General features: G+C 40.1%; 1 protein-coding gene across 10 annotated transcripts in view, besides 5 other annotated features; it reads left to right on the plus strand.

Annotated features, from left to right (window-relative positions):
- Positions 1,671-1,850: an enhancer, noted in NCBI's record as "active region_21453". NCBI's record gives its function as "activates an Ori minimal core promoter by ATAC-STARR-seq in GM12878 lymphoblastoid cells {active_cell/tissue: GM12878}" and the evidence as "EXISTENCE:reporter gene assay evidence [ECO:0000049][PMID:35858748]".
- Positions 1,671-1,996: a biological region, named in NCBI's record as "Sharpr-MPRA regulatory region 13789".
- Positions 1,702-1,996: an enhancer, noted in NCBI's record as "tiled region #13789; HepG2 Activating DNase unmatched - State 1:Tss, and K562 Activating DNase unmatched - State 1:Tss". NCBI's record gives its function as "activates a minimal TATA promoter and a strong SV40 promoter by Sharpr-MPRA in HepG2 and K562 cells {active_cell/tissue: HepG2 | K562}" and the evidence as "EXISTENCE:reporter gene assay evidence [ECO:0000049][PMID:27701403]".
- Positions 2,002-12,199, plus strand: part of WDR19 (WD repeat domain 19) — a 103,282-nt gene continuing 93,084 nt past the window's right edge. For 7 of the 10 annotated variants that reach the window (XM_011513724.2, NM_025132.4, NM_001317924.2 and 4 more), the window contains exons 1-4: positions 2,002-2,036; positions 5,199-5,290; positions 6,012-6,077; positions 9,129-9,254. In XM_011513724.2, coding sequence (XP_011512026.1) covers positions 2,031-2,036; positions 5,199-5,290; positions 6,012-6,077; positions 9,129-9,254 — 290 coding nt within the window. In that variant the 5' untranslated portion in view covers positions 2,002-2,030. Of the gene's footprint in view, positions 2,037-5,198; positions 5,291-6,011; positions 6,078-9,128; positions 9,255-12,199 lie in introns of those variants that run through there. The other 3 variants (XM_011513725.3, XM_047416030.1, XM_047416033.1) reach the window with 2 other exon arrangements.
- Positions 2,121-2,270: an enhancer, noted in NCBI's record as "active region_21454". NCBI's record gives its function as "activates an Ori minimal core promoter by ATAC-STARR-seq in GM12878 lymphoblastoid cells {active_cell/tissue: GM12878}" and the evidence as "EXISTENCE:reporter gene assay evidence [ECO:0000049][PMID:35858748]".
- Positions 2,971-3,040: an enhancer, noted in NCBI's record as "active region_21455". NCBI's record gives its function as "activates an Ori minimal core promoter by ATAC-STARR-seq in GM12878 lymphoblastoid cells {active_cell/tissue: GM12878}" and the evidence as "EXISTENCE:reporter gene assay evidence [ECO:0000049][PMID:35858748]".

A 12,199-nucleotide genomic window follows, 5' to 3' on the forward strand; every position in this document is an offset into this window, starting at 1 on the left:
CTGCCTCAGCCTCCCGAGCAGCTGGGACTACAGGTGCCCACCACCATGCACAGCTAATTTTTTGTATTTTAGTAAAGACGGGGTTTCACCATGTTGGCCAGGCTGGTCCTGAACTCCTGACCTCAAGTGAGCCCCCCACCTCGAACTCCCCAAGTGCTGAGATTACAGGCGTGAGCCACTGAGCCTGGCCACCAATACTTCTTTTTGCTGTTTTTTTTGACGGAGTCTCGCTCTATCGCCCAGGCTGGAGTGCAGTGGCGCGATCTCCGCTCACTGCAAGCTCCGCCTCCCGGGTTCACGCCGTTCTCCGGCCTCAGCCTCCCGCGTAGCTGGGACTACAGGCGCCCGCCAATACTTCTTAATCTCCCACACTTAAGTGGAACAGGATGGTTTATGGAGGCTGAAGTTGAGTATTTCCCTTCTCCCAGGTAGTTTAGGCTCTGATAAAACCCCAGCAGACTAGGCTTTGGTAAAAATACTTTCTCCTGAGGGCAGGTCTTGTTAAGAACTGATTGCTCTGGCTATTTTTAAATGGTTACCCTTTCAGCAGAGGAATCTTTCAGTAAAAATTTAAGTAATTAACCTAACTGTCAGAGGCGTTTGAACCAGAGCGATTCCATTTTGAGTGAGGGCTAGGAAAATGAGGCTGAGACTTGCTGGGCTGAATTCTCAGAATTTGGGCATTCCTCGCCTCTAGATGTTTACGATTAAGGGAATAAATTAATAATGTTTACTAAAACAGACCCAGATATCGGGATATCTGGAGAACAAAGGCATTCCTAATTTTGCTTTAAAGATAATAATATCAATTCCTGCAAAATAATTAAGAAAATTAATCTTTGATCACAAACCCTTGTAGCAGAGCACATCTCCCCATATATACAAGCATTGTACCTAGGGTGGATGCGTCCCTTCTCTTGCTTTCAGGAATGTCCTACTCTGTCTATGGAGTAGCTGTCCTTTCACCACTTTACGTGTTTTAATAAACTTGCTTTTCTCAGCACTGAGAACTCGCCCTGAATTCTTTCTTGCGCGCGATCCAAGAACCCTCTCTTGGGGTCTGGATCCGGACCCCTGTCGTAACGTAACTGAAAACCCCAGTGCAAAGGCATAGCACCCTACTTAAGAATTTGCAAACATTCATTATTAGTTATTTCAAATCATTGATTAACTTTCTCTAAGCCAATCAGATTCCTACCTGATGTCGAAAAGAAAAGCAAAAGGTAGACTGTTTCAACACTTTCAGACGCTTGGGTAAAAGATGCACTTTCATGCTATAAATAATGCAGCACAAATACTGTACAACAGGGCTTTATACTTGGGGAAAAGCTGCCAGATCCAAACTCTAAAGGAAAACTATTGGAGCTCATTTTTCCTGCCCACGTTAGCTAGCACATTTTGTTGACATTGAAAAAAAAAAAAGATTTTGGTGAAACTGAAAAAAAAAAAGCACCAACAACCCTACCTTGAAATAAACTATTGTACCTCTTATGCCTCCTCCCTTCTACCCCAGAAACCTGGAAGAAAAAAAGATATACCCGAGCTCGTCCAACCCCTCTTTGCGTGGACTGTATAGGAGTATTTAGCCCATCCTGCCTCCTTTAATCTAACATTCTGCGTCTTCTTTCCTTCAGCTTCTCGGCGCCCCCTTTGGCCAGCACTGACATCTTAGTCATCGCGGTCCAAAATTTACGCACGCGCCTTTGAGGGCTCACAGAGCCCGTCTCTCCCGGACGAATCTCATCCAATCAGAGCCAGCCAGGAAGCCGAGGCTCAGCAAGGCCTCGCGACGCCCAACTTCCCAGGGTTAGCGTCTCTGATGTCATGTGATTCCACCCTCCGCCTCTCACCCACCCTCGCAGAGGGCGGTGCGCTTGGCCCGGCCCCTCGAGGCACCGCCTTTCAATTAGCACTCGCTGATTGGTCGCTGCTCGCGCGGTCTCCTGGGTGACGGGAACGCGGTAGCCTGCTTGGTGGAGACCGGGTGCGCCTGCGTACTTCATAGTTCGCGTAGCGGCTCGAGCGTGGAGATGAAGGTAAATAACTTACAAATTCCCGGGGTGGGGCGGGAAAACGCGACTACTGGCCCTTGGTCGCTTTTAAAAGAGGATATCTGTCCCTCTCCCTTCTGAGTTCGTTGGAAATGAGGAAGAGAGAGAGAGAGAGAGGTGGCCAGAGAGAGCGGGGGCGAAGCTGAAGGGACGAGAGAAAGGAAAGAAAATAGGAGGAGAGGAGAGGGCGGAGAGAGAGGCCTCTCGTTTTGGGGACTGCAGACGCCGTAGAAGCGGTGCAGAAAGTGGGAACCCCTCCCTGGCCGAAATGAGCGGACTGGATCTAAAGATACCCCAGCTTCGCACGCGGAAAGAACTGGTCGAGTTAACGCGTTTGGAGGGTCGCTGTGAAGTTGACTGGGTCCGATGTCACGAGCTACCTCATTTCTTGGGGCTAAGCCTCTGGCAAGCCGCGCAGCTGCCCAGCGCCTTAAAAAGAATGAAAAGCCTCCTAAAGAATAACTTCAAAATGTATTACCTGTGACCAGTCCAATCACCTGCTAGCGAGTGTACATTATTGACGGGAAATCTGCACCCGAAAACTCAGGTCTCACGCTCATGTGCCTCATCCTCTGCACGCACGGTTTCTAGGCTTGGGCTTCTTGTTCACCCCACTTTCTGATTTATCAGAGCAGTCCCCCCTTGCTCTGCTCTGGCAAAGAAATGGAAGGCTTTTTTTTTTTTTTTTTTTTACTGAGTCTCGCTCTGTTACCCAGGCTGGAGTGCAGTGGCGCAATCTCTGCTCCCTGCAACCTCCACCTCCTGGGTTCAAGCGATTCTCCTGCCTCAGCCCCCCGAGTAGCTGGGACTACAGGCGCGTGCCACCACACCCAGCTAATTTTTTGTATTTTTAGTAGAGATGGGGTTTCACCGTGTTAGCCAGGATGCTGTCACTCTCCTGACCTCATGATCCCCCGACCTCGGGCTCCCAAAGTGCTGAGATTACAGGCGTGAGCCACCGCGCCCGGCTGGAAGGCTCAATTTTAAAATTATTTTAGATGTCCTCATGCTTCTTCGTGGCTATTAGTGTGGAAATTGGAATTGACGGACCAGTAATCATAACTCCCATTTTTATTTCTAAAGCTCTTTACAATTTATGAAATATTAGAAGTGAAGAGTTATTATTCATGATTTACAGTTGAGAATTTTTTGCTGGAGGCAATTTAAACGACTTACTTAAAGCCCTACAGCTAATAAGCTACAAACAAAATTTAAGTCTTGGTTTTTTGGTTGTGAAACTAGCAGTTTTTCCTCTGCACGGTATGTGGAGCATCTATAGAGCTCCACTGAAAAAAAATAATATGAAATCACAGCTAGAGGCAAGTCAGCCATTGAAGGTAATGAAATTCAAGTTTAAGGACTTCTCACTTGCATGAAGGAGTTCCAGGGTGAAATGGTCACAAAATTGCAAAAGTAAGATGCTTTTAAATATTCTTTCTTCATGAGTTTCTTTATGCTCTATAAAACTTTTATGTCCCATGATCATAGCCCACCTCTACTTTCAATAGAGGGGAATTTCTTCTTTAGCATGTAAAATGCTCATTGGGACAGGGTGCGGTGGCTCACGCCTGTAATCCCAGCACTTTGGGACGCCGAGGCAGGTGGATCACTTGAGGTCAGGAGTTCGACACCAGCCTGGCCAACATGGTGAAACCCTGTCTCTACCAAAAATATTTTTAAAATTAGCCGGGCGTGGTAGCGTGTGCCTGTAATCCCAGCTATTCGGGAGGCTGAGGCAGGAGAATCGCTTGAACCCAGGAGGCGGAGGTTGCAGTGAGCCAAGATCGCCCCACTGCACTCCAGAGCCTGGGCGACAGAGCAAGACGCTGTCTAAAAAAAAATAAAAATAAAAATAAACAACCTCACTGCTTTGTGTTTGGTTGTTGGTTGTTAATTTATTTATTTTGAGACGAAGTCTTGCTCTGTCACCCAGGCTGGAGTGCAGTGGCACCATCTCGGCTCACTGCAACCTCCACCTCCCGGGTTCAAGGGATTCTCGTGCCTCAGCCTCCCAAGTAGATGGGATTACAGCAAGCGCCACCATGCCCAGCTCATTTTTTGGTAATTTTAGTAGAGACGAGGTTTCGCCATGTTGGCCAGGCGGTGTTTAATTTTGAGCATTGTAAGAGTTTTGTGTTGCCGCACAGACTAAGTCCCGTGTAACAGTATCTAAATTTCATATGCCTAGAAATGGGCATCATTGTTTAATCTATAATTTAACCTAATATTGAAATCTAAATTTTTTCACTGAAACTCATATTCCTAAATGTTCTAGATCAACACTGTCTGATATAAATGTACTGTGAGCTAATGTAATTTCATATTTTTATTGACCATTAAAATTTTTTAAGAAAACAGGTAAAATTTATTTTAATAATATATTTTATCTTACCCAGTATATCAAAAATGTTATTTCAACATGTAATCAATATAAAAATTAACAACGAGATAGTTTACATTCTTTTTCCAGTTGTTGAAATCTGATATACATTTTATATTTACAGCACAGCTAGGTTGGGATTACTTATATTCCAAGTCCTCAATAGCTACATGTGGTTTGTAGCCTCCATATTGGACATCACGTTTCTTGATTGTTTCAAGGAAAAGAAAGAGTTTTCAGTTGATAACACTATTCACCCAGTAGCCAAGTTAAACACTTAATGATGATGTAAATATAACTAATGGAACTAATAGAAGAAAATAATGTTGAAAGGAGTAAAGACATTTTGTGTTTTTATCATGTTTAAGATAGCAATTTTTGTTCAGTTTAATCACCAGGAATCCGTGCCACAGATAATTAACTGAATTCAGGCTTCAATTATTTTAGTCTTTAACATCTACAAAACACTAAAATTACATATTTTTGTAAAATTAACATTCAGAAACATTAAAAAGCCAAAAAAAATTTAAAATAAAAGCCCTCCTATATCTTGAGATCTGTAATTTACCAAGTAGTTGTGTATGTTTAGTTGGTTGGTTGATTTTGTTTTATTTCTTTTGTTGTTAACTTCTAGATAAGCTCTAACATAATCCTCACTATCCTGAATCCTATGAAAACATGGTTTTCATGACCATGTTTTGATACCTTTTCTGATCAACACTTGATTGTATGTTTTGAAAATATTAAAAATTGTGTTTATTTTTTAGCGTATTTTCTCACTGCTAGAAAAGACTTGGCTTGGCGCACCAATACAGTTTGCCTGGCAAAAAACATCAGGAAACTACCTTGCAGTAACAGGGTAAGAAACCAATGAATGTTTTAAGCAGTGGTTGCATGCCCATGTAATCACACCATCTACTCAGTAGAAGTTTTTTTTGTTGTTGTTTTTTTTTTTTAAATGGAGTCTAGCTTTGTTGCCCAGGATGGAGTGCAGTGGCACGATCTCAGCTTGCTGCAACCTCCGCCTCCCAGGTTCAAGTGAACCTGGCCTCAGTAAAAGTTTTTGTCTAACAGTTATATGACAGGAAAAGGAATATATTCATCTCCATTAACATGAAAGTTCATAGAACCTTTTCCCTGGTAATAACTTTTTATGCAAATTCTGAAACTATCAGGAGAAAACACTGAAATCATTTGGATGGCAGCTTTATATACATAGATAAATGAAAGAAACATTTAGGCCAGGTGCAGTGGCTCATGCCAATAATCCCAACACTTTGGGAGGCCAAGGCAGGCAGATCACTTGAGGCCAGGAGTTTGAGACCAGCCTGGCCAACATGGTGAAACGCCATCTCTACAAAAATACAAAAATTAGCCAGGTATGGTGGCAGGCATCTGTAATCCCAGCTACTTAGGAGACTGAGGCAGGGGAATCGCTTGAACCTGGGAGGTGGAGGTTGCAGTGAGCCAAGATCACACCACTGCACTCCAGCCTGGGCAACAGAGGGAGACTCTGTCTCAAAAAAAAAAAAAAAAAAAAAAAAAAGTAAATCATATCTTTATGTTCTGATTGCTTTCAGAGCTGATTATATTGTGAAAATCTTTGATCGCCATGGTCAAAAAAGAAGTGAAATTAACTTACCTGGGTAAGTACAGAAGTAGATTTAAAAAAACCTGTCAAGTTTTGTTGCCTAAAAGATTAAAAAAATACTGCCTTAAAATTATAATCAGATGGAATCTTTTGCTTCTTCCATTTGCAAAGGGATTTGTTTTTTTAGCCATAAGTAGTTATGAAATATGTAGAGATATAGCATGAATTAGAGTTTCTATCTATAAACACCCATATACTCACAGAGAAGCCTTACGGCAGGATTATAAATCAGACCGTGTGAAAGAATTAGAGTCCACACGAAACAATTCTTTTAAATTATAAACAAGTCTTAGTGTTTGTATAGGCAGATAAGATAAACCTGTATCTACTTTAGTTTTCCATCTCTAATAAATTGTTGGAAAATAGTGACTTTCCACATAACTTTGTAAAGGGTGAAGGCTTTATCCATTTTCAGGAAATCATTCTACATTATACTAAGCATAATTGAAGCATTTTTAATGATTCAGTGTAATCACTACCTATATTAGTTATTCTACTGATGGTCTCAGTGGTTATTAAGATGTATAAAGGCTGTGTGTGGTGGCTCATGCCTGTAATCCCAGCACTTTGGGAGGCCGAGGCAGGTGGATCATGAGGTCAGGAGATGGAGACCATCCTGGCTAACACGGTCAAACCTCGTCTCCACTAAAAATACAAAAAAGTAGCTGGGCGTGGTGGCATGCGCCTGTAGTCCCAGCTACTTGGGAGGCTGAGGCAGGAGAATCACTTGAACCCGGAAGGTGGAGGTTGCAGTGAGCCGAGATTGCGCTACTGTACTCCAGCCTGGGTGACAGAACGAGACTCCATCTCAAAAAAAAAAAAAAAAAAAGATGTATAGAGTCCCTCACCTAAACTGACTTATGCTGCTGTGCTTTTAAAATTCATGTTTCTTTCTGTAGTTTATTGACCATTTTTGAAAATTAGGTTTTACTTCTCTTGGTCTCTAACAGCCTTTCCTACCTCCTGCCCTGCCCCACCCACCTAATGCTATCATTTTGGCATTTTCCATTAACTCTCTTAATTGTGGCTTCTGGTTTCTGTATTCCTGGAAACAGATCAAAGAAGCTATAATTATATGTGAAGTGAAAGAAGGCACTCAGTAAAAATTGTCTTGGAGTAAATTGCGTGAGCTTTATTGTGTGATCTCTGTGACATCTATTTCTGTTACATAATGGTCTCATTTCTTCTGTATTGTTTTGCTGTATTCATAATAGTGGAATTTGACTGACAGAGGATCTCCAGATAAGGAAAATGCTGTTAAATACACAATCTTTAATTAGCAGATGATTTTGTCAATAATTTGAAAGCTTCCCTCTTCCATACTCCCCAAATCTCTGAATATACTTTAGAAAATGAAGATCCTAAAACATATTTCAACATTTTGAAAAATAAAATAATTGAAGTAATTCCCAACTGTCTTAAATATAAATCAAAGTATGGGTTATTTAATACCCAAGAATGAAAAATAACATCAGAGAAGAAAAGGTAAATATTTTTATTAAGAGTTTAAGAAATTGTAAAGTTTTTTATAATACACATTTGGTTATTTAATACCAAGATGAAAAATATATGTAATACCAAGATGAAAAATATTTAATACCAAGATGAAAAATATATTTAATACCAAGATGAAAAATAACATCAGAAAAGAAAAGGTAAATATTTTTATTAAGGATTTAAGAAATTGTAAAGTTTTTTATAATATACATTTTGGAATAATAGCAAGAATCATGTTAAATAGACCATTTCCTGTTTATAACTATGTTGTTACCTTAATCAAATTACTCTCGTTATTTTCCATCAAGATATAAAATGAAAATAATGACCAGGCACAGGGGCTCACACCTGTAATCCCAGTACTTTAGGAGACTGAGGCAGAGGATCGCTTAAGCCCTGGAATTCGAGGTTATAGTGAACTATAATCATTTGAGCCCAGGAGTGTGAGGTTATAGCCAAGTATAATCGCACCACCGCACTCCAGCCTGGGCGGCAGAGCCAGACCTTGTCTCAAAAAAAAAAAAAAAAAGAAAAGAAAGAAAGAAAAGAAAATAACATTTCTTATTCACCACTTTAGAATTCTATCTTTCCCTTTTTTACAATCCTATATCTACCCAATCACTCAATTTATCTAGCTATAACTTTGCTGCTTTTCTTTTTTTGAAACAGGGTCTCTCTGTGTTTCCCAAGCTGGAGTACAGTGACACAAACATGGCTCACTGCAGCCTTTACCTCCCGGGCTCAAGTAATCTTCCCACTTCAGCCTCCTGAGTAGCTGAGTAGCATGTGCATGCCACCACGCCCAGCTCATTTTTTTTTCTTTTTTTTTTGGTAGAGATGGGACCTTGCCATGTTGCTCAGGCTGGAGTGCAGTGGCGCGATCTTGGCTTACTGCAACCTCTGCCTCCCAGGTTCAAGCGATTCTCCTGCCTCAGCCTCCCAAGTAGCTGGGATTACAGGCATGCACCACCATGCCCAGCTAATTTTTGTATTTTTTAGTAGAGACGGGGTTTCTCCATGTTGGTCAAGCTGGTCCCGAACTCCTGACCTCAGGTGATCCGCTTGCCTCGGCCTCCCAAAGTGCTGGGATTACAGGTGTAAGCCACTGCGCCCAGCCACTTTGTTTCTTATCAATACCTTCTTGTCCTCTCTGTCAATCTAAAATAATCTTTCAAAAGTTGATCATACAAATTATGTCTCGATTCCAGATGTGATTCATTTGTAAAGGTGCGTGGCGAGTTTGTTTTATCAAAAGGCAGGGTTCTTTATAGGACTGAAGAAAATCTGCTAACTTAAGTATGATTATATTTAATGTAGTATATGAAAATGGTATTAAAAGTAAAATTTTAAATTTTACCGTCCCCTCAACCACAGCAAAAAAATTGAAGTTAACATTACCCATGCAGTGAATAATGAGTTGTATTTCTCACTTTAGAGAGTTTATTATCTGTTCAAAATAGATTGAATAATCTTGTTATAGACAAAAATCACAAATAGTAATTTTACTTTAAAAAACTGTATAGTGGTATTTTGCTCTCTTTTTTAAAAGTAACTGTGTTGCCATGGATTGGGATAAAGATGGAGATGTCCTAGCAGTGATTGCTGAGAAATCTAGCTGCATTTATCTTTGGGATGCCAACACAAATAAGACCAGCCAGTTAGACAATGGCATGAGGTAAGATAACTTTTTAATTTTTTAAAGCTTCACTTAGAAACATGAATATTTGTAGGTTTGGTGCTAACAATTCTTTACTACTTTCATTTTAAAGATTCCTCAATGAGTTATTTTCATAGAAAAGGATTATTTTTATTATTGTTACCCAATTAGAATGAAATTGTTATAACTGTGAATTATAAATAGCTTCTTAAAAAGTTGCTTTCAGTGGAACAGACTAAGAAGTGCAGAGATGAGACAAAATATATATGGGAAAATCCAGAGATGGGCTTGACCATAGGCATGGCTAGATCTAGGAGTTATAATGGTGCAATCAAGACTTTTTCTCCATCTCTCAGCTCCTCTTTTCTCTATATTGACTTTATTCTAAATCAGATTCTCACCCACGACTACTGGTAGCTATCAGTATGTATCATTCTTCACAGCAAGTCATGCCAGAGAAAAGAGCATGTGCCTTGACATCACCAGAGCCCATTCAGTTCCTCAGCAGGTCTCTGAGTGGAGTAGGCAGGGCCATGGATTGGTACTCCCACCAAGTGAAAGGAAGAGCAAAGGGCAGGGCAGTTCCCAAATGGAAAAAAATCTTGGGCAGACAGAATAAATGACAGATATCTGCTAAAAGAGAAACCAGTTTCCAATATGGAAAAGAAAAACTTGTCAGCATTTCCAACTAAAACTTTGCCATTTTGACCTTGGACAAATTGCTTAACCCCTCTCCAAGCCTCAATTTCTTCATCTGTATGACATGGGTATAACATGCTTCATGGCTTCATGTACCCCTCATGTGGGGAGGAAGAGATCATATACACGCTATGAGACCAGACTATAAGTTTTCAAGTTATTTACTAAGGAATAACTGAACCCAGAGAAAGCAAGGCAGTCATGTAGCGCAGGATCAGATACAACCTAGTGAGTGTAGTGCCTTTGACCCTCCAAAGTGACCGTTGAGGCAAGTAGCTGCAGAAGATACTGTCTACCAATGTAAAGTCTTCCTGAGTCTAAGAACCTTCATTTCTTGCTCTGTCCTCTTACACTTTGGGTTTACATCACTTTTCAGAAAGATTTTATATACTCTCTGTGCTTCCATTCAAGGGAAAGTTTAATAAACTTCAAGTACTGGTTCTTGAGCCAAATTCAGCAACAGTAAGGCCATGTTCTCACTCAGAGCAAAGTGCATAATTAATCCCCTGGTGTTTCTAACTGGTCTATCTCTGCCTCCAGCTCTCTGTCTTCCCACAGTGTCTGTTTCTCCACATCATCTCAGGATTGTTGTGATGTTTAAATATATGTCATGGCCAGGCATAAAATTAAGACCCAAGTAAATGGTAGATGTTATCGTAATTGTCATTAAAATAAAATTAAGGTTGCTTTACTGTTGATGTTTATATTTAATGTCTAAAGGACTTTTGTATATACAAAAGCATACCCACTGTTTGTTCTTTATTCAAAGGTCAATCTGTTACACTAGCTAGTTATTAAACAAAACTTGGAATATCAATTTTTCTTAAGTATTTTTATTTAAGAAGGTCCTGTTGTACATGACCACCTTGCTTCCTCTGGGTTGTTATTCCTTAGTAAATAAATGCTTTTAAGCAATTTAGGTTTTATAAAATTTATCTGAAGTGAGTCTTTTGAGCACTTCAAACACCTGAAATAGTACCCAAAACCTATCCAAATGTAATTATCACAAAACTTACTGTGGTGCCACTTAACTAAAAATATATTAATTCAATGAGCTGAATTCATTTATTTTTGCTATGTATGCATTTATACTCTTTTAGAATTATAGCGGTATTTACTCTGCTCCTGCCTAGGCCTAACAGAAGTAGTCATTTAATTATGTAACTGGGATATAGCCATTTCTTTCCAGAGAAAACCCTATACATAACATCTGCTTCATCAACCAGTTCATTCTTGGATGGATCACAGAACATGGTTGCTTCTCCCAAGGCAATTTGGACCTGAGTACTAGGTATCCTACTCAGTGTCTTTTTAAATTGACCTTGAGTTGTCGTATTAGTAAAATTCTTTTAAGCCCATGCCTTATACATAGGTTGCAATTTTTTGTAACCTGTACATTTCCCTAGCATGATATATTCTTTAAATTTTGCTTGGCCAGAGATACATGTAATTGTTATATGTTGTCCTGATCCAATGGCATTATTGGAAATTTACATATGCTTTAGTATCATATTGTAATTTGCAAGGGTTTCTACGGGCCTTATATCCTAAGAGAATAGGGATGGAGTCTGTTCAGTTAGCTCTTCTTTTGAGAACATTTGATTACTTGATCTTCTTAGAACACATTATTTAACACTTTCTTTCTAGTTGGTTGTTGAGTAACTGTCAGTGCTGATAAACTATTGAATGGACTAATGTTATATTTATCTTATTATATATGATCACTGTTGCTGATCAGATCTTGTTCTTGTTATACAGTTTTCTCTGATACTATTTTTAGCTCATGCAAAATTATTTTTATTCATATTTTCTTTGAAGGAGTCTCCAAGACAGGATTAACTGTGTAAGAGATTTCTTACAGGAAATGCCTATGAGGGAACATAGAGAGGTTAGAAGAGATTGGAAGAGCTGTTAGACCTCAGTGCATGTCTGACCCTTATAAATGAGAGAGGGAAAGAAGTAAGGTTGGGAAGAAGTGTCTTAAATTGTAGCACAGTTGTTTTTTGTTTGTTTGTTTGTTTGTTTGGAACGGAGGCTCCCTCTTTTGCCCAGGCTGGAGTGCAGTGGCTTGATCTTGGCTCACTGCAACCTCTACCTCCCGGGTCAAAGCGATTCTCCTGCCTCAGCCTCCCAAGTAGCTCGGTGCCCACCACCACGCCCAGCTAAATTTTGTATTTTTAGTAGAGATGGGGTTCCACCATCTTGGCCAGGCTGGTCTCGAACTCCTGACCTCAGATGATCTGCCCACCTGAGCCTCCCAAAGT

The sequence above is a fragment of the Homo sapiens genome, chromosome 4, assembly GCF_000001405.40.
Source record: "Homo sapiens chromosome 4, GRCh38.p14 Primary Assembly".
Lineage (NCBI taxonomy): Eukaryota > Metazoa > Chordata > Mammalia > Primates > Hominidae > Homo > Homo sapiens.